The following is an 18152-nucleotide window of genomic DNA, read 5'->3' on the forward strand; positions in this document are numbered from 1 at the left end:
CAGCGACCCGAAAGACACGCCCCACACCCAAACGCAAGAGCGATCCCGCCCTCCCATTGGCTAAGGCGCCACCGTGACCCCGCCCCAGAGTACTACAGCAGGCGCTCAGGGGGCTGGGCCCGCCTCCGGGAAGGAGCCTTAAAGAACCAGCTGCCCGGTGGTGTCCGCGCCCAGTCCCCCAGAGTGGTCGTGCAGGTATACGTTAGAAATTTTATTCTCTGGAGGTTGGGGCGGACTGAGAGCAGGTCTGGGGTCATCCCTTCTCCGGCTCCTCCTGGTTGCCTTCTCGGATCGGACTCTCCTGCTTCCGAATCTGGTCTGGTTGCCTCTTGCTTGGCCGCGAGGAGCCCCGACGACCGAACGTGGATAGTCGCCGCCACAGCACGGTAATCAGAAGGCTTTCGTTCGACTTGTGATTCGGATGGTCCGGGGAGTTCAAGTCGATATCTTCGGCGCCTGAGGGGACGACGAGGCCTCTGAGCTCACCCCTACCCTCGGGAAGCCCCCTCTCACACTCCCTGGGCCCTCTTTGTGTGTCTGTGGTCTCATCTTCCCTGCCGTCCTCAGACTCTTCCTCCTTGGACTGCTCATCAGACATCTCAAAGTCCTTGTCTTGGCAGCAGCCCATGGCCCCGCGTGGCCCTGGACTCCGTGCCACCCACGCCAGCCTGCCTGCCTCCAGGCCCGGCTTTTGTGACATCAGATATCCCGTCGCCCCAGCTCAGGCAGCCCCCACCCCAAGCTACCCCTCATTCCTTTCTCCCATCACAAAAGGCTCAGGGTCATGGTGGGTGTTCAGCAGTTTATTTACAAAGTGGGCACAGGGGCGTCAGGGGCTGGTGGACCCAGGCCGCTTCTTCTTTCTCCGTCTCGTTTGGAGAGCTCCTTGGGGCTGCTCCAAACCCGAGAGCTTCCGCTTGGCAGCTGCCTCCAAGGATGCCCAAAGTTCATCTGTCTCTGTGTCTTCTAGGGGCACCTTGTTGGGTTCTTGAGGCTCTTGGGGCTCATCCTGGTGAGTGGGAAGAAAGCTTAGGAGTCAGGGGGGCCGGGCACGGTGGCTCCCACCTGTAATCTCAGCACTTTGGGAGACCAAGGCAGGAGGATTGCTTGAGCCCAGGACTTAGCGACCAGACTGGGCAACATAAGGAGACCCCATCTCCACAAAAAGAAGTTTAAAAAAAAAAAAAAAAAAAAAAAAAAAGAAAAGTAGTCAGGGGCACAGGGACAAACCCACAGGGAAGGAGACCCTGGCTGAGAAAGAATCCCTCTGGGTACCACCACCTTTATTCCCTGCTCCTAGAAAGCAACCCCATCCATGCTGTTGGCAATAACCCTCTCAGGATTTTAACTGTTAATGCCTCTCAGAGAAATTAAGTGACCAGGCAGGTAAACAGATAGTCCCAAGTCTGCATTCCAGCTGCCTCCTTTTCCTCTCCATAGGGAGGTCCTCACATCTATGCCCTTGGCTCCCACATTCCCGGGCCCAACTGCTCACCTCCCAGTTGTCCCTGCCTGACAAGAGGAGGCAGTTCAATTGAGACTTGAGATAAACCTGCAAAAGATGAGGGACCTTAAGGAGCCAGGCATGCTGAGACAGAAACATGAACGGAGGGCACAGGAGGCGGGGCCTCCACAAGACCATGAGTTGGAGGTGGGAGAGACAACTTACCTTATGCTCCAGACCCCGTGGATTCTGGATCCTGTGTATCCTCAAGACTCTGTCCAAGCCACAGGAGGCTAGTAGAGGCTTTGAAGGGTGGCACTGCAACCCACGCACACTGCCTGCCAGCCCCTTCAGACAGCCCAGTAGACGCCCTAGAGAAGGGGGGAAGCATCCGTGATAACTGGCTGGCCAATAACCAACCATTCATTGTTTCCTGTTCCAATCACTTTCCATTTCAACATTTAATCTGCAACAAAACCCTGAGACTGGAGCTTCTACTAATATTTCCATTTCGCAGGTGAGGAAACTAAGGCACAGGGAGTTGAAATAATTAGTTTAAGGTCATACAGCTTTTAGGGAAACCAGGATTTAAACCCAGGCAATCTGGCACCTGAATGAGGCCTCACTGGCCCCACTGCACCACCTTAGAGGGAATCCTGACCCTTCTCCCTGCTCCTTCCTTTCCCCCAATGTACCCTAGTCCACTCACCTTGCCGAAGGTCAATTTCTGCCAGCTGCCCATGAGTGTTTCCCACAATCACTGAGCTGAGGATGAGACCAGAGGCAAGTGGGATCAGCAGTAACCTCCTGGAGCCCTTCTCAAGCCCCACCCTCCCACCCCTTCCCCTCTAAACACTCACTTGCCTCCCGGAGTGAGGGTCATGGCTGTTAGTGGGTACTCTCCATAGGTGGTCTCTAGGACTGGCCGGCGCTGGGGGGATGCTGGATCATAAACACGGACCTAGAGGAAGGCTGAAGCATCACAAAAGTATCCTCACCCTGCACCTACCCTCTGGCGTCTCTGCATCCTCACCCCCTCCCTGCACACTGCTTTCTTATTTATGATCCACTCCCAGAAACTTTCTCATCTTAGATGTATGCCTCTTCTCTGAGCATCAGGGTGTCAGGAGAGCTGCTTAGCAGCATAAATGGACAGAGCTGAGGGGAGAGGTCCCCTAGGTTGGAAGTGTGTGAGCATTCCATCCCCCCATACTCCCATCTAGGGGAAATGGAGGGACAGAAAAGCAAGTTGGTCTAGTAGTCAGTAGGTGCTAAATTTCAAGCAGGGGTTAGCCTGAATGAAGGAGGAAAGAGGATGCCCTCATATGTGTTTTGAGCAGAGGCATATGACCAAGATCAGACTTCAATGTGCAGAAGCAAAGAAAATAGGACAAATACAGTGACCCAGCCCCGCCCGTGTCTCAAGACCTCAAATGAGACAAACCATAAAGATTCCCCATTCGGGCCCTTCCTGTAAAGCTGAGGAGCTGAGGCCAGAGATGGGAGGCTCAGGCCTGGGTCCCAAAGCAAATCAGAGAGGCTGCATCAGGACCAGAACCCAGTTCTCTTAACACCCAGCCCAATGTCCTCTGACACCTGCACCCTATAATTCCCACAGTGAAGGGGATCCACTCTCCTTTCCTCTCTTCCAGGTGGGAGGAAAACAGGCATAGTTCAGGAAACTCCACCCTAGAATACAGTAGAGGAAGGTCATGGGCTCAGGGACAGGGTTGGAACAGACGGGGAAGCGCTTGCTCCTCTGAACTCAGAATGGTGAGAAGAGCAGTTGTGTCAAACCGTGGGGGCCATTTCTCCAGGAGGCTGCTTTATCCCAGGAGAAGGCAGGTGTGAGGTGACACCTTACCTGGTGGTACCCTGTGCAGGTGACAAGCTTCTGTGATCCTGGGAGAAACTGTATGTCCTGGTCCCAGATGGGAACCCGCAAGTCCAGCCAGTCATTCCGCACCTGGTGGGGTGGGCAGATGGAGGACAGGGCTATGGGGGGCTCGATGTGCCCCTGTTTTCAGCCCTCCTTCGCCCCCTAAGTCCATCTAGTCTCTAATGCATCGTCAGTGGCCTCAGCCTCCCTCGACTTCAGGAACAGCTCCTTCACACTCTTGTCACTCACGTTCTTGGCCCTGAACACAGGTTCCTCAGAGCCCTGCAGGTCCCATATCTTCAAAGCATTCTCTTTCCCACCTGTGGCAACCACATGGGGGTGTGCTGGGTCTTGGCGCATCCTACACACCCCAGGGCCCACTCTCAGTTCCAGGAGCTGTAAAGAATAGGAGATAAGAGTCCGTTCCAGAGTCCTTAATCCTCCCTTCCCCAGCGTGATCATTAGGCACCTACCCCAGCCCACCTCCCCCAACCATCAGGGCAGGGGAGCCTCACTGGGTCAGAGGATGTGTCCTTGTCCTTGTCATGCCAGACTCTGAGAATCCCAGAATCCACACATGTGATGAGGGTGCTGCAGAGAAAGGATAGAGTTGGGATTTTTTAAGTGCTTAAACTCCTTGTTCTAATCTTTCTCTCCTCCTTACTACTACAGTTGACTAATGTTTAAAGAAAAAAAAAAGTATAAAAGTATTCTCTAGGCCCCAAACTCATATCAACCAGATTCCCTACTAACAGTCCAGTTTAGAAGGAAGCCTCTAGGTCACTGGGCTCTAGGCAGGGCTTGACAGCTTCCAGCTTCCTAATCTGTTAATTCAACTTTCTCAACAGGGTGAGGGTTTACCAAGTGAGGAAATAGAAGCGCTGAGAAACTAATTTGCCACTCAGCTATGTTACAACCACAGCTAGAAATCAACTCTGTGATATTCCAGAGTGCTTTTGCTGTTCACAGCTATGTCTAGCATCTGGCTGTACTGGTCTGTCTGAATCTTGAGTTGCTTACTAGGGCTGGTCTGAATTTAGGGCTTGGTCAAAGTCAAACACCAACTTCTTGGGTTCCTTGCTCTGAGTTTCAGGCACTAAATGTCAGTCTCTTGCTTAAAATATCCCTCCCGAGAAGTCCAAGCAAGTCTCTCCCCAGGATCTGCACAGCCTGCGCCTATGTTCTTTCTCACACCTGCCAACCCTCCCTAGCTGGGTTCGGGCTCTGTATCGACTTGCCTGACCTGTGGCAAAAGTCTCCCAGTTGCTGTCTCCAATCCATCCTCCATACTCCTACAGGCTCCCAGTGCTGACTATGGTACTTCCTATTCAAAAACTGATAACTTGGCCAGGCACAGTGGCTCACGCCTATAATCCCAGCACTTTGGGAGGCCAAGGCAGGCAGATCACCTGAGGTCAGGAGTTCCAGACCAGCCTGGCCAACATATAGTGAAATCTTGTCTCTACTAAAAAATACAAAAATTAGCTGGGTGTGGTGGTACATGCCTGTAGTCCTAGCTACTTGGGAAGTTGAGGCAGGAGAATCGCCTGAACCAGGGAGGTGGAGGTTGCAGTGAGCCGAGATCATGCCACTGCACTTCAGCCTCAGTGACAGAGCAAGACTCCGTCTCTCAGAAAAACAAAAACAATAAATGAATAACTCACCAACACCAATAAAAGTGCACATCTCTCAACCTAGCACTTAAAGCCCTTTACATTTAATCCCAACCTAATATAGTGTTCATCTTGTATTAAAATGCTTCCTTGGCCGGGTGCAGTGGTTCACGCCTGTAATCCCAGCATTTTGGGAGGCTGAGGTGGGCGGATTGCCTGAGGTCAGGAGTTCCAGACTAGCCTGGCCAACATAGTGAAACCCTGTCTCTAATAAAAATACAAAAAAAACTTAGCTGGGCGTGGTGGCGGATGCCTGTAATCCCAGCTACTCAGGAGGCTGAGGCAAGAGAATCGCTTGAGCCTGGGAGGCAGAAGTTGCAGTGAGCCGAGACTGTGCCACTGCACTCCAGCCTGGGCAACAGAGTGAGACTCCGTATATAAAAAAAAAACAAAAAACAAAAAAAAAAAAACGCTTCCTTGTTATCAACTTCCAAATCAAATGCTATTTATCCTATTTATGTACCCTGTAGCATGCCTCCAGTCCTTGGCCTCTCCCAGGCAGTACCCTCTTTCTAGAATACCCTTATCCCCTTCTCCACCAGTCAAAATTCTACCCATCCCTCAAGAACCAGTTCAGACATCCAGTCCCCCCCACAGGCTTTCCAGACCTCACCTGTCAGAATTACCACCACCAAACCTATGCAGCCTGCTTCACAGCCCTCTTTCATCATCTTTGGAAGAAAGCAAGGCCAGTCATCCAACCACTTAGCACCTTCCTAATCTTTGCTTTCAGAGCTACATCACCTTGTTGGTGGTTGAGCTCAAGTTGAGCCCAGGAGTTTGAGACTGGCCTGGGCACACAGTGAGACCCCATCTCTATAAAAAACTTAAAAATTTAGCTGGGCAGGGTGACACCTGCCTGTGGTCCCAGGTACTCAGGAGGTTGAGGCGGGAGGATCGTTTGACCCCGGGAGGTTGAGGCTGTAGTGAGCCATGAATGCACCACTGCACTCAAGCCTAGGTGACACAGTGAGGCTCTGTCTCAAAAAATATAAATGAATTAATAATGAATTAATGAATGCATGCTTAAAACTTTTTTTGTTGTTTTTTTTGAGATGGAGTCTTGCTCTGTTTCACAGACTGGAGTGCACTGGTGCGATCTCTGCTCACTGCAACCTCTGCGGGACGGATTCAAGCGATTCTCCAGCCTCGGCCTCCCAAGTAGCTGGGATTACAGGCATGAGCCACCACACCCGGATAATTTTTGTATTTTTTTAGTAGAGAAGGGGTTTTACCGTGCTGGCCAGGCTGGTCTTGAACTCCTGACCTCAAGTGATCCACCTATCTCGGCCTTCCAAAGTGCTGGGATGACAGGCATGAGCCACCACACCCAGCCTTGCTTAAAACTATTAAATGACAAGCAGGCACAGTGGCTCACGCCTGTAATCCCAGCACTTTGGGAGTCCGAGGCAGGTGGATCACCTGAGGTCAGGAGTTCGAGACCAGCCTAGCCAATACGGTGAAACCCCGTCTCTACTAAAGATACAAAAATAGCCGCGCGTGGTGGCAGACGCCTGTAATCCCAGGTACTTGGGAGGCTGAGGCAGGAGTATCGCTTGAACCCGGGAGGCGGAGGTTGCAGTGAGCCGAGATCGCGCCACTGCACTCCAGCCTGGGCAACAAGAGCGAAAACTCCGTCTCCAAAAAAAAAAAAAACAAAAAACAAACACACACACACACAAAACTATTAAATGACTTGCCCATGGTTACTTAGAGGATTATAATGGAGTCAGGTGAAAAACCTTAGAGGATGAGAACTTTTTGAAGGCAGAAATTTTACCGGCAGCCCCTGTACTTCTCCCAGTGCCTGGAATTCAGTAGGTGTTCAATAAATGTGTGTTACAGGTATGAACTACATAAGGCAGAAACCCAGGTCCCTGTCACCCATTCAAAGCCGTGTCACTAAGAGTTTGCCTGTCGCCATCATTCCAGTATCCTCAGGGAGCATCAACGCTCTCCCTTCGGCCCTGAGTTTAGCGAGGGGATTGGTCTTACCCGTCGGCCTGGGCGAGGCCACGGAACATGCCCTCCCCGCCCGGGCAGTGTCTCTGACCCTGGAATATGCCATCCTCGGTGCTGAAGTGCTTCACCGTCCTGTCCGCGCAGCCCACCAGCATCTGCGGCAAAGAAGGGCAAGATGGCGAGGAGAGCGAGGCTGCTGCGCCCCAGGCCCCCAGCTCCGGCCCGACCAGGGGCCACTCACCTGGGTCTCGCCGCCGGTGCCCCAACACAGGGCGCTCACTGCCTCCTCGCGCCGCGGCTGTCCTCCGGCCGTGAAGTTCGCCGCCTGTTTTCGCTGAAGATTTACCCCTGAGAGACGAAGGCGTCAGTCACGCCAGGGGCGCGAGTGCACCCCTGCACTTCCCGACGCCCGAGCCTGCCACCCACCTTTCAAGATCCCAGTCTCGGTGCCGACCCACACATGGTTCCAGCGTGCAGCAGCAGCCGCCATGACAAAGCCTGGAGGCAGACAGTTCACACTTCCGGCGCAGCGTGTGCGTCACCAGCGGGCGTCGAGTCCGATGCAGCGCAGTGTAGTTGCTGGAAGTTTGAAGAGCCGAAACAGTAAAGCTTCCATGCTTGTTTTGCTTTACGAAAATGAAACCAGGAGGTGCTTGTTTATGTAGATCGGAAGAATACATTGATCATTTTGCACTTGGGGGTGAAAAGCACCTTTCCTGGACTGCGTGGCCGGATCAAGCCAGCCCTAGTCTGTCTCCCGGCTCCATTATGTAATATGTGTTCTGGACTGTTAGACAAGAAACAACAAACGATTTAAGAAACGATTTAAGAAACACTTTAGAAACGATTCAAATCATTAATGATGTGTGGGGCTTCGTTCTGGAATATAAGTCACGAAAGAAAGATGGGAAAAGGAAACCGACGATTTTTTTTTTCTTTTGAGAGAACTTCGCCCTTGTTGCCCAGGCTGGAGTGCAATGGCGCGATCTCCTCTCACCTCAACCTCCGCCTCCCGGGTTCAAGCGATTCTTCTGCCTCAGCCTCCCAAGTAGCTGGGATTACAGCTGGTATTACTAAACCACCGCGCCCGGCCTCGTTTACTCTTCAAGAGGCGGACAGCGAGGCGCGGTGGCTCACGCCTGTAATCCCAGCACTTTGGGAGGCCGAGGCGGGCGGATCATGAGGTCAGGAGATCGAGACCATCTTGGCTAACACGGTGAATCCCCGTCTCTACTAAACATACAAAAACAAAACTAGCCGGGCGTGGTGGCGGGCGCCTGTAGTCCCAGCTACTCCGGAGGCTGAGGCAGGAGAATGGCGTGAACCCGGGAGGAGGAGCTTGCAGTGAGCCGAGATTGCGCCACTGCACTCCAGCCTGGGCGTCAGAGACTCCGTCTCAAAAAAAAAAAACAAAAACAACTAAAAGTACTCTGTGCTATGCTACATGAGAAACGCAGAGAAAGTCATCGCTCAGTAGAAATACAGTAATAGCGCATGCGTAAATAGGAGAGGGAAGTCGCTACTTTACCTAGAGATTAACACAGAAAAGCAACAAATTACCAGTTTACAAGTAAACCCTTTATCTAACGCGAAGATTTATTTATTTTTTGAGATGGAATCTTGCTCTGTCTCTCAGGCTAGAGCGCCCGCCACCAGGCCTGATTCACTTTTCTTTTGGTTTTTTAGTGAAGACGGGATTTTTCACACCATGTTAGTCAGGCTGGAATTACCCAATCCGCCCGCCCCAACCTCCCGAAGTGCTAGGATTTCACGCTTGAAACCCCGAGCGCGACCTAGGTTTAACACATCAAACGCGAAACCAGGCCGGGCGCGGTGGCTCACGCCTGTAATCCCACCACTTTGGGAGGCCGAGGCGGGCGGATCACGAGCTCAGGAGATCGAGACCATCCTGGTTAACACGTTGTGAAACCCTGTCTCCACTAAAAATACAAAACAGGCCGGGCGCGGTGGCTCACGCCTGTATTCCCAGCACTTTGGGAGGCTGAAGCGGGCGGATCACAAGGTCAAGAGATGGAGACCACCCTGGCCAACATGGTGAAACCCCGTCTCTATTAAAAGTATAAAAATTCGCTGGGCGTGGTGGCGGGCGCCTGTAGTCCCAGCCACTCGGGAGGCTGATGCAGGAGAATCGCATGAACCCGGGAGGCGGATGTTGCAGTGAGCTGAGATCATGCCATTGCACTCTAGCCTGGGCGACAGAGCAAGACGACGTCTCAAAAAAAATAAATAAGAAATAAAAATGGAAAACATTAGCCGGGGGTGGTGGCAAGCGCTCAATAGTTCCAACTACCCCAGAGGCTGAAGTATGAAGATTGCTGAAGACCACATGGAGATACTACGCTCCGTGCTCAGTTATAAAACAAAACCTTCTCTCAACAAGACACTCAAACACGCGTCATTCAACACACTAGCGATAAAAACACCTAATCCAACTCAAACAACAAGAACATAACTATTTAGCTTGTACCCTAACTGATCGAAATCTTCCATTAAACAACGGTTGTTCTCTCCCCGAAGGGAGAGTGCACCGTTCCTGGAAGTACTGCAATACCAGGTCGATGCGTGGAGTGGACGGAGCAAGCTCCTATTCCATCTCCTATTTCCAAAAATCCATTTAATATATTGTCCTCGGATAGAGGACGTATCAGATATTAAACTGATAAGAACAGATACTACACTTGATCTTAGCCAAAAGGCCGAGAAGCGATACCTTTACTTCGGTCGCCTCGGCGGCCTTATCCTTCCCATCTTCCAACCAGTTATGGTAACTATCCAGGCACTAAATGTTAAATTATCTCCCAATACATTATAATTCCGAAACACAGTTTTCATTATTCTTTCTTTATAGTAGTGGCTATATTTTGGAAACAGCCCTATTTAAACGTCCTCTACTTCTTCCGCCGCCTGCTCCCTGCTCAGTTTGTTTTGCATAAACCCGCCCCTTTCGCTTTTTTAGGATCCTGGGATTGGTCCACACACCAGTCGTGATTTCAATGCCCGCGTGGCCTCCTTTTCCCCGATTGTGGCGTTAGTCTCCCATCCTAGGGGTTTTTCGGCTTTCCAGGGGGCGGCGGGACAGTGCTGCAGGTGGCGGCGCCCCTCTCCGGGACCTTTCTTGGGAGAAGCCGCGGCGCGGTGTCAAAGCACAGGTTTTGGAGTCCAAAAAAGGAGGTTGGGCTCCCTGCTCTCCAGTTCCTGACTTAATGGCCTGGGCTTGGTATTTAGGCTCTTGTTTCCTCCCCATTTAAACGGGGGAAATGGTGACACTCACTCTCCGGAGTTTGTGAGAACTGAGGACATAGGGGCGAGGCACGACCCGCACCTTGCATTTGTACTGTCCGCCAGCAAACATCTGGCCCTTCACTGAGAGGGAAAGATGCCCTGAGAAAGCCATTTCAGAGGCTCCTGATCCTCAAACCCGGGATCCCGCGGTGGGAGAAAGGTGCTGACGCCTCAGCCCCGATGTCCTCCGACCCACGCACTCTTTAGAGTTACTTTCAGGCCGACCAGCAACGCGGCAAGGCATCCCACCCGGAAGTCCGACCGAGAAACCACAGGGCCTCTCCTCGAAGGCAGAGGCAGGGTCGTTAGAGGACTGGGGCGAAGGAGGAGGAGGAGAGTGTAGGTAAAATTGAAATGGAGCGATTTTTTTTTAATCGATCAAAGCAAGCTCGCCAGAATGAAAGGGATTAATATGAGGCCCTGGCTGAGAAGGGACTTAAGGTCTTGCTTTCTTGGAAGCTCTATTAATATAAACGTGGATCGTTCTGTTGGAAACCCCTTAACCTGGGTTGGAAATAGAGGCGGTGTCTTTGCATCAAAGCGTCTTGCATGGCTGAGATCCTCCAGGCAGGAGTGGGGCGTTAACATTCTCACTGATAAAATGTCAACCGGCAAAGCTTCTGATAATCTATGATTTTATGACACTGGTATTAATAAACAAAAGAAATTTCTACAAGTTCTCATAAGTAAACCCAGAGCCTTCAGAGAGGTGCCACATCAAGAGAGTAGTAGGCAGGGGGCCGGGCGTGGTGGCTCACACCTGTAATCCCAACACTTCGGGAGGCCAAGGCGGGTGGATTACTTGAGGCCAGGAGTTCGAGACCAGCCTGGGCAACATGGCAAAACCCTGTCTCTACTGAAAATACAAAAAGTAGCCAGGCATGATGGTGCATGCCTGTAGTCCCAGCTACTTGGGAGGCTGAGGCATGAGAATCGCTTGAACCTGGGAGGCAGAGGTTGCAGTGATCTGAGATCATGACACTACACTCCAGCCTGGGTGACAGAGCGAGACTCTGTCTCAAAAAAAAAAAAAAAAAAAAGAGGATAATAAGCAGAATAATGCCCTCCCCACCCCAGAGATGGTCAGTGAGAACCTCTGAATGTGTTACCTTACATAGCAAAAGGTATTTTGCAGATATTATTAAATTAAGGATTTTGAGACGGCGAGATTTATCCTGGATTTTCTGGGTGGGTTCAGAGTAATCACAAATGTCTTTATAAGGGGTAGAGGGAGGCAGGAGAGTCTGAGTGATGCAACCTGAGGAAGATTTGAGCAGCCAGGGCTTGCTCTGCAGATGGAAGAGAGTCATCAGCCAGGGAGTTGTGGGCAGCAGCTAGAAGTTGGAAAAAGCAAGGAAATAGATTCTCCCATGCAGCCTCCAGAAAGCAATGCAGCCCTGTCATTACACCTTGATTTTAGCCCATTGAGACTCATTTTGGACCTCTGGTCTCCAGAACCGTAAGATGATACATTTGTTTTGTTTTTGGCCGCTAAGTTTGTGGGTAATTTGTTACAACAGCAATAAGAAACGAATACAGGGGCAATAAGAAACTAGTACAGGGGCAGGGCCCAGGGCCTCATTCCTGTAATTCTAGCACTTTGGGAGGCCAAGGCAGGAAGATCACTTGAGGCCAGGAGTTCGAGACCAACCTGGACAACATGGCGAACCTTGTCTCTACAAAAGTACAAAAATTATCCGGGTGTGGTGGCACATACCAGAAGTCTCAGCTACTTGGAAGACTAAGGCAGGAGGATTGCTTGAGCCTGGGAGGTTGAGGCTGCAGTGAGCCATGATCACACCACTGCACTCTAGGCTGGGTGAGAGAGGGAGACCCTATCTCAAAAAATAATAAATAAATAAATAAAATGAAATAAAAATTTAAAATTCATGTTTTATTTTCATGAAACTAATATACCTTAAATTGTCAACTAGTGTTAAAAGACTTATATAAAAACAGTAGTTGCCTGTGTCCTGCCTCATTTTACACCCTACTTTTATTTTATTTAATACTATTTATTTACTTTATTATTTTTATTTATTTATTTATTATTATTATTTTTTGGAGACGGAGTCTTGCCCTTGTTGCCCAGGCTAGAGTGCAGTGGCGCAATTCAGCTCACCGCAACCTCTGCCTCTTGAGTTCAAGCTATTCTCCTGCCTCAGCCTCACGAGTTGCTGGGATTACAAGCATGTGCCACCATGCCAAGCTAATTTTGTATTTTTACTAGAGATGGGGTTTCTCCATGTTGGTCAGGCTGGTCTTGAACTCCCAACCTCAGGTGATCCGCCCACCTCAGCCTCCAAAGTGTTGGAGGCCCGTCTCTACTAAAAATACAAAAAATTAGCTGGGCGCGTGGTGGTGGGCGCCTGTAATCCCAGCTATTCGGGAGGCTGAGGCAGGAGAATCGTGTGAACCTGGGAGGCAGAGCTTGCAGTGAGTGGAGATCGCACCACTGCACTCCAGCCTGGGAAACAGAGCAAGACTCCGTCTCAAAAAAAAAAGAAACGGGGTTTCACCATTTTGGTCAGGCTGGTCTTGAACTCCTGACCTCGTGATCTGCCCACCTCGGCCTCCCAAAGTGCTGGGATTACAGGCGTTAGCCACCATGCCTGGCCTTTTCGTTTTGTATTTTTTTTTTAGTAGAGACAGGATTTCACCATGTTGGTCAGCCTGGTCTGGACTCCTGACCAAGTGATCCACCCGCCTAGGCCTCCCAAAGTGCTGGGATTACGGGCATAAGCCACCGTGCGGAGTCTCTAAATTATTTTGTTTTTTGTTTTTTTGAGACAGAGTCTCACTCTGTCACCCAGGCTGGAGTGCAGTGGCACGATCTCGGCTCACTGCAAGCTCCACCTTCTGGGTTCACAGCATTCTCCTGCTTCTGCCTCCTGAGTAGCTGGAACAGGCGCCCGCCACCATGCCCGGCTAATTTTTTTGTGTTTTTAGTAGAGATGGGGTTTCACCGTGTTAGCCAGATGGTCTCGATCTCCTGACCTCGTGATCTGCCCGCCTCGGCCTCCCAAAGTGCTGGGATTACAGGCGTGAGCCACCGCACCCAGCCTGCTTTTCTTTTTTTTCTTTTTATTTTTTAATATAAAGATGGAGTCTTGCTATGTTGGCCAGGCTGATCTCAAAACTCCCAACCTCAATCTATCCTCCTTCCTTAACCTCCCGAAATGCTGGGATTACAGGCTTAAACCAGGGCACCTGGCCTTTTTTTATTTTTCTTTTTTGAAGACGAGAATGTTACAAAATTTTTTTTTTTTTTTTGAGATAGAGTCTCACTCTGTCACTCAGGCTGGAGTGCAGTAGTGTGATCTCGGCTCACTGCAACCTCCACATCCTGGGTTCAAGGGATTCTCCTGCCTCAGCCTCTGAAGTAGCTGGGATTACAGGTGCACACCACCACGCCTGGCTAATTTTTTGTATTTGTATTTTTAGTAGAGACAGGGTTTCACCACGTTGGCCAGTCTGGTCTCAAACTTTTTACCTCAGGTGATCTACCCGCCTCGGCCTCCCAAAGTGCAGGCTTGAGCCACCGTGCCCAGCCTCATTTTTATTTAATTTTTTAATTTTTTATTTCTTTTTTTGAGATAGTCTCACCGCAACCTCTGCCTCCCAGGTTCAAGCAATTCTCCTGCCTCAGCCTTCTGAGTAGCTGGGACTACAGGTGCCCGCCACCATGCCCAGCTAATTTTTGTATTTTTAGTAGAGATGAGGTTTCACCATGGTGGCTAGGCTGGGTTTTTCATTTTTATTGCATCCTCCAACTCTTCTGAGAATTTATTGAATGCTTTCCCAAAATCAATGCATATTTGCCTTACACAATTTTGCATACAGTTTTTGGGGGGATTCTTGGAGCCCTGCTGAAGCCCATTAAATTAATCTACACACTAACAACCACAGCCCCAGAGAGACAGGGGAACCTGACTGAAGGTGTCCAAATATCTGATAAAAGGCCACAGAAATCCGGAAAGGGCTGGACAGACATGAAGGAACAGGATCTAAAGGTCCTTGGGCCATTGTGGGCAGCCCTGGTGAAGGGCTGACTGGGATGATCTTTGGCTCCAGGACTTGAGTGGCTAACCTGGGCCCATATTCCCTCGTGATTTTAAGAATTAAAGAAAGAGGAAAGACAATGGGTGCAGTGGCTCACGCCTGTAATCTCAGCACTTTGGGAGTCTGAGGAGGGCGAATCACTTGAGATCAGGAGTTTGAGACCAGCCTGACCAACATGGAGAAACCCCGTCTCTACTAAAAATACAAAAATTAGCCGGGCATGGTGGCACATGCCTGTAATCCCAGCTACTCGGGAGGTCGAAGCAAGAGAAGAGAATCGCTTGAACTCAGGAGGCGGAGGTTGCAGTGAGCTGAGATCGTGCCACCGCACTCTAGCCTGGGCAACAAGAGCGAAACTCTGCCTCAAAAAAAAAAAAAAAAAAAAAAAAAAAAGGAAAGAAACACGAAATGTGGCTTAACAGTCAAAGACAAGTTTATTTCTCTAAAATAAATAAACCTGAGAGGGGCTTCTGTCCAATTTTGGTCAGGAGCATTCTCTTTTTTTTTTTTTTTGAGACAGAGTCTCTCAAACTCCTGACCTCAGGTGATCTGCCCACCTCAGCCTCCCAAAGTGCTGGGATTACCAGGCGTGAGCCACCGCTCCCAGCCCAGGAGCGTTCTCTCTTACAGACTAAGAGTATATATTGGTTTTAGGGTGAGGGGGCTTATCAGAAGCTTGGAATGTTTCTGTGTTGGGGAGAAATTTATGGCGGGGTTTAAATGTCTCTGGAGTGGAGGTTATCTCGGGGCTGGCATGTCTCTGGTCGGGGAGGGGTTTGGAATGTTTCTGGATGGAGATATCATTTGTGGTTTATGGTCATGGTGACTTTAGCCATTAGGTTGATGCCCTTTGGATTTAGGCAGTTTTTGATCAAGGTGAACTTAAAATGACAGTGCTTGTCCAAGATGGCAATACTCGTGCTCTGTCACTGGTGACTCTGGCTTGGAGTTGGGCAGGTCCTGGGAAAGAAACACTGGTGGCTGGGCACGGTGGCTCACGCCTGTAATCCCAGCACTTTGGTAGGCTGAGGCGGGTGGATCACGTGAGGTCAGCAGTTCGAGACCAGCCTGGCCAACATGGTGAAATCCCCTCTCTACTAAAAGTACAAAAATTAGCCAGCATGGTGGCACACACCTGTAATCCCAGCTACTCAGGAGACTGAGGCAGAAGACTCGCTTGCAGCTGGGAGGTGGAGGTTGTAGTGAGCCAAGACCGTGCCACTGCACTCCAGCCCTGGCGACAGAGCAAGACTTGGTCTCCAAAAAATAAATAAATAAATAAATAAATAAAAATACAAAAGAAACACTGGCTTACCTGTTGGCCATCAACCTTACCCTTGCTAATTTTATCTGCTCCCTGGTTCTCTAGGAATTAGCTTTGACCTCCCGGGCTCAAGCCACCCTCTCAAGTACCTTAGCCTCCCAAGTACCTAGGACTACAGGCATGCACCACTATGCCTGGCTAATTTTAATTTTTTGTAGAGATGGGGTCTTGCTATGTTGCCCAGGCAGGTCTTGAACTCCTGGCCTCAAGCAACCCTCCTGCCTTCACCACTCAAAGTGCTGAGATTACAGCCATGAGCTACCATGCCTGGCCAGGTATTTGCATTTTCTCCCTCTATTCACACTCTGCTGAAATGTCCCATGTAGGGCCCTGGCTTTCCTTCCCTCTGTTCTCTGGTGATGACTGACTCAAGGTCTCTAGCCTGCTGGTCAATGGTGCCAGGCACCATTACAGGTACTTTATATGTATTAACAACCTTAAGAGATAAGTAGGTGCTTTTAATGTTCCCTTTTACAGAAGAGGAGACTGAGGCACTGTGGCCAGGTGATTTTCTTTTTTTTTTTCTTTTTCTTTTTTTGTTTTTTGAGATGGAATCTCGCTCTGTCAACCAGCTGGAGTGCAGTGGTGTGATCTCGGCTCACTGCAAGCTCCTCTGGAGCTTAGGGAAGAGGTTCTTGCTAAAGACCTTGTAGTCTGAGTCATTAATGTACAGAAGAAATGTGAAGAGCCAGGCCTCAATCATTCTGGCCTTCTCCTCCATTTCTCCATATTGTCCCAGTCTCATTTCTTTTTTTGTTTTTGAGATGGAGTTTCTCTCGTTGCCCAGGCTGGAGTGCAATGGTGCGATCTCAGCTTACCACAACCTCTGCCTCCCGGGTTCAAGCGATTCTCCTGCCTCAGCCTCCCGAGTATCTGGGATTACAGGCACATGCCACCATGCCCGGTTAATTTTGTATTTTTAGTAGAGACAGGGTTTCTCCATGTTGGTCAGACTGGTCTTGAACTCCTGGCCTCAGGTGATCCGCCTGTCTCAGCCTCCCAAACTGCTGGGATTACAGGTGTGAGCCACTGTGCCCGGCCTTTTTTTTTTTTTTTTTTTTTTTTTTGAGATACAGTCTTGCTGTGTCGTCCAGGCTGGAGTCCTCCCAGGTTCAAGAGATTCTCCTGCCTCAGCCTCCTGAGTAGCTGGGACTACAGGTGCATGCCGCTACACCCGGCTCATTTCTTTTAGTAAAGATGGGGTTTCACCATGTTGGCAAGGCTGGTCTTGAACTTGTGACCTCAGGTAATCAGCCCACCTTTGCCTCCCAAAGTGCTGGGATTACAGGTGTGAGCCGCTGCACCTGGCCAGTCCCCACCTGACTTCTTTGTGGCTTTAACAAAAGATTCAGCTGTGGGCAGTGGGGAGACTTCCCTCAGTTTGCAAGTCAGTACCGTGCAGGTTCCCACTGCTTGCACTGCTTTTCTAAGTTTCTGTTCTGCTGATCCTCCATCTCTAAATTCTGGTGCTCCCCTAGGGTCCTTGGGTGGTCTTCTCAGAATTGACTCTTCCATTCTTGTGGTTGTAAATTATTGTGCTGACAACTCTCAAGTCTATGTGGCTACCATTTAATGAGCAAAAAATGTGTGTTGTTTCAGCTGAGTTGCTGTTCTTATAATTCTGACCGGAGAAATCCTAAAATTTACAAACAAAAATTAAAAACAGGGCCTGGTGCGGTGGCTCACACCTGTAATCCTGGCACTTTGGAAGGGCGAGGTGGGTGAATCATCTGAGGTCAGGAGTTCGAGACCAGCCTGGCCAACATATAGTGAAACCCCGTGTCTACTAAAAATACAAAAATTATCTGGGTGTAGTGGCACACGCCTGTAGTCCCAGCTACTTGGGAAGCTGAGGCAGGAGAATCGCTTGAACCCGGGAGGCAGAGGTTGCAGTGAGCCGAGATCACACCACTGCACTCCAGCCTGGGTGACAGAGCGAAACTCCTTCTCAAAAAACAAAAAAAAAGTAAATAAATAAAAAATAAAACAGGTAAAAATCCCGTAATTTATCACTACTTGGTGTCCATTCTCCCAAACACTTTGAGAAATATAAGGGTAGTCATTATCTGGTGGCTTACAACAGAATCACCCAAAGGGGGGCTACCTGTCAATGCAGGCTGGAGTCTCCAAGCTCAGGGAAGATTTAAAAAATTGCTCTTCTGAGGGATGCAGGGTGCAGTGGCTCATGCCTGTAATCTCAACACTTTGAGACACTGAGGCAGTGGGATCACTTGAGCCCAGTTCGAGACCAACTTGGGCAACATAGTGAGACTATCTCTACAAAAAATTAAAATTACCTGGGCATAGTAGGCATGTCCCTATAGTCCCAGCTACTCGGGAAACTCAGGTGTCGGATCGCTTGAGCCCAGGAGCTTGCGGCTGTGTTGAGACATGATGACACCACTACACTCCAGCCTGGGTGACAAAGAGCTTCAAAAGAAACAAAAACAAACACACACACAAAAAAAACCACACAAACAAAAAAAAAACAGAAAAAACTGAAGA

General features: G+C 49.8%; 2 protein-coding genes, 1 long non-coding RNA gene and 1 other non-coding gene across 12 annotated transcripts, besides 14 other annotated features; 1 reads left to right on the plus strand and 3 right to left on the minus strand.

Moving 5' to 3' along the window:
* On the plus strand, positions 112-1921 carry STX5-DT (STX5 divergent transcript). The gene is made up of 2 exons (NR_135084.1): positions 112-195; positions 1441-1921. It is a non-coding gene; the product is annotated as an STX5 divergent transcript (long non-coding RNA).
* On the minus strand, positions 199-719 carry TEX54 (testis expressed 54). The gene has a single exon (NM_001395459.1). It carries the CDS (start codon positions 626-628, stop codon positions 254-256), a length of 375 nt encoding a protein of 124 aa, NP_001382388.1. The 5' UTR covers positions 629-719; the 3' UTR covers positions 199-253.
* Positions 300-369: an enhancer, noted in NCBI's record as "active region_4853". NCBI's record gives its function as "activates an Ori minimal core promoter by ATAC-STARR-seq in GM12878 lymphoblastoid cells {active_cell/tissue: GM12878}" and the evidence as "EXISTENCE:reporter gene assay evidence [ECO:0000049][PMID:35858748]".
* Positions 390-439: an enhancer, noted in NCBI's record as "active region_4854". NCBI's record gives its function as "activates an Ori minimal core promoter by ATAC-STARR-seq in GM12878 lymphoblastoid cells {active_cell/tissue: GM12878}" and the evidence as "EXISTENCE:reporter gene assay evidence [ECO:0000049][PMID:35858748]".
* Positions 783-9687, minus strand: WDR74 (WD repeat domain 74). 9 transcript variants are annotated; one of them, NM_001369449.1, is made up of 13 exons: positions 7385-7468; positions 7200-7306; positions 6992-7113; positions 5856-5973; positions 4829-5297; positions 3839-3914; positions 3573-3719; positions 3309-3410; positions 2305-2405; positions 2154-2209; positions 1670-1815; positions 1496-1552; positions 789-1009 (listed from the first exon to the last, which is right to left on the minus strand). In NM_001369449.1, the coding sequence occupies exons 7-13, from the start codon at positions 3681-3683 to the stop codon at positions 830-832; spliced, it is 753 nt and encodes a 250-aa protein (NP_001356378.1). In that variant the 5' UTR covers positions 3684-3719; positions 3839-3914; positions 4829-5297; positions 5856-5973; positions 6992-7113; positions 7200-7306; positions 7385-7468; the 3' UTR covers positions 789-829. The 9 variants fall into 9 exon arrangements, 8 of the variants coding, with proteins under 8 accessions (NP_060563.2, NP_001294906.1, NP_001356378.1 ...); NM_018093.3 differs by lacking the exons at positions 4829-5297; positions 5856-5973 and adding an exon at positions 7956-8034 and having other exon boundaries at positions 783-1009; positions 7385-7537; NM_001369451.1 differs by lacking the exons at positions 4829-5297; positions 5856-5973 and adding an exon at positions 9447-9687 and having other exon boundaries at positions 7385-7745.
* Positions 6892-7021: an enhancer, noted in NCBI's record as "active region_4855". NCBI's record gives its function as "activates an Ori minimal core promoter by ATAC-STARR-seq in GM12878 lymphoblastoid cells {active_cell/tissue: GM12878}" and the evidence as "EXISTENCE:reporter gene assay evidence [ECO:0000049][PMID:35858748]".
* Positions 7132-7251: an enhancer, noted in NCBI's record as "active region_4856". NCBI's record gives its function as "activates an Ori minimal core promoter by ATAC-STARR-seq in GM12878 lymphoblastoid cells {active_cell/tissue: GM12878}" and the evidence as "EXISTENCE:reporter gene assay evidence [ECO:0000049][PMID:35858748]".
* Positions 7312-7651: an enhancer, noted in NCBI's record as "active region_4857". NCBI's record gives its function as "activates an Ori minimal core promoter by ATAC-STARR-seq in GM12878 lymphoblastoid cells {active_cell/tissue: GM12878}" and the evidence as "EXISTENCE:reporter gene assay evidence [ECO:0000049][PMID:35858748]".
* Positions 7722-7861: an enhancer, noted in NCBI's record as "active region_4858". NCBI's record gives its function as "activates an Ori minimal core promoter by ATAC-STARR-seq in GM12878 lymphoblastoid cells {active_cell/tissue: GM12878}" and the evidence as "EXISTENCE:reporter gene assay evidence [ECO:0000049][PMID:35858748]".
* Positions 8492-8661: an enhancer, noted in NCBI's record as "active region_4859". NCBI's record gives its function as "activates an Ori minimal core promoter by ATAC-STARR-seq in GM12878 lymphoblastoid cells {active_cell/tissue: GM12878}" and the evidence as "EXISTENCE:reporter gene assay evidence [ECO:0000049][PMID:35858748]".
* Positions 8792-8841: a silencer, noted in NCBI's record as "silent region_3432". NCBI's record gives its function as "represses an Ori minimal core promoter by ATAC-STARR-seq in GM12878 lymphoblastoid cells {active_cell/tissue: GM12878}" and the evidence as "EXISTENCE:reporter gene assay evidence [ECO:0000049][PMID:35858748]".
* Positions 9037-9650: an enhancer, noted in NCBI's record as "OCT4-NANOG-H3K27ac-H3K4me1 hESC enhancer chr11:62608631-62609244 (GRCh37/hg19 assembly coordinates)". NCBI's record gives its function as "activates a minimal SCP1, AML or CMV promoter by ChIP-STARR-seq in naive and primed H9 embryonic stem cells {active_cell/tissue: H9 hESC(naive and primed)}" and the evidence as "EXISTENCE:reporter gene assay evidence [ECO:0000049][PMID:30033119]".
* Positions 9037-9681: a biological region, named in NCBI's record as "OCT4-NANOG-H3K27ac-H3K4me1 hESC enhancer GRCh37_chr11:62608631-62609244".
* RNU2-2 (RNA, U2 small nuclear 2) lies at positions 9497-9687 on the minus strand. Its single transcript, NR_199791.1, has one exon. It is a non-coding gene; the product is annotated as an RNA, U2 small nuclear 2 (small nuclear RNA).
* Positions 9562-9681: a silencer, noted in NCBI's record as "silent region_3433". NCBI's record gives its function as "represses an Ori minimal core promoter by ATAC-STARR-seq in GM12878 lymphoblastoid cells {active_cell/tissue: GM12878}" and the evidence as "EXISTENCE:reporter gene assay evidence [ECO:0000049][PMID:35858748]".
* Positions 9651-10264: an enhancer, noted in NCBI's record as "OCT4-NANOG-H3K27ac-H3K4me1 hESC enhancer chr11:62609245-62609858 (GRCh37/hg19 assembly coordinates)". NCBI's record gives its function as "activates a minimal SCP1, AML or CMV promoter by ChIP-STARR-seq in primed H9 embryonic stem cells {active_cell/tissue: H9 hESC(primed)}" and the evidence as "EXISTENCE:reporter gene assay evidence [ECO:0000049][PMID:30033119]".
* Positions 10265-10878: an enhancer, noted in NCBI's record as "NANOG-H3K27ac-H3K4me1 hESC enhancer chr11:62609859-62610472 (GRCh37/hg19 assembly coordinates)". NCBI's record gives its function as "activates a minimal SCP1, AML or CMV promoter by ChIP-STARR-seq in primed H9 embryonic stem cells {active_cell/tissue: H9 hESC(primed)}" and the evidence as "EXISTENCE:reporter gene assay evidence [ECO:0000049][PMID:30033119]".
* Positions 10292-10361: an enhancer, noted in NCBI's record as "active region_4860". NCBI's record gives its function as "activates an Ori minimal core promoter by ATAC-STARR-seq in GM12878 lymphoblastoid cells {active_cell/tissue: GM12878}" and the evidence as "EXISTENCE:reporter gene assay evidence [ECO:0000049][PMID:35858748]".

This window comes from Homo sapiens, chromosome 11, assembly GCF_000001405.40.
Source record: "Homo sapiens chromosome 11, GRCh38.p14 Primary Assembly".
NCBI lineage: Eukaryota > Metazoa > Chordata > Mammalia > Primates > Hominidae > Homo > Homo sapiens.

Coding starts and splice junctions, on each gene's coding strand:
- TEX54 (NM_001395459.1), bottom strand. CDS start 628: ATGGGCTGCTGCCAAGACAAGGACTTTGAGATGTCTGATGAGCAGTCC.
- WDR74 (NM_001369447.1), bottom strand. CDS start 7,448: ATGGCGGCTGCTGCTGCACGCTGGAACCATGTGTGGGTCGGCACCGAG. Junction 7,114..7,199: donor GCACCGGCGGCGAGACCCAG/GTGAGTGGCCCC, acceptor TCTTTGCCGCAG/ATGCTGGTGGGCTGCGCGGA. Junction 1,553..1,669: donor CACGGGGTCTGGAGCATAAG/GTAAGTTGTCTC, acceptor CATCTTTTGCAG/GTTTATCTCAAGTCTCAATT.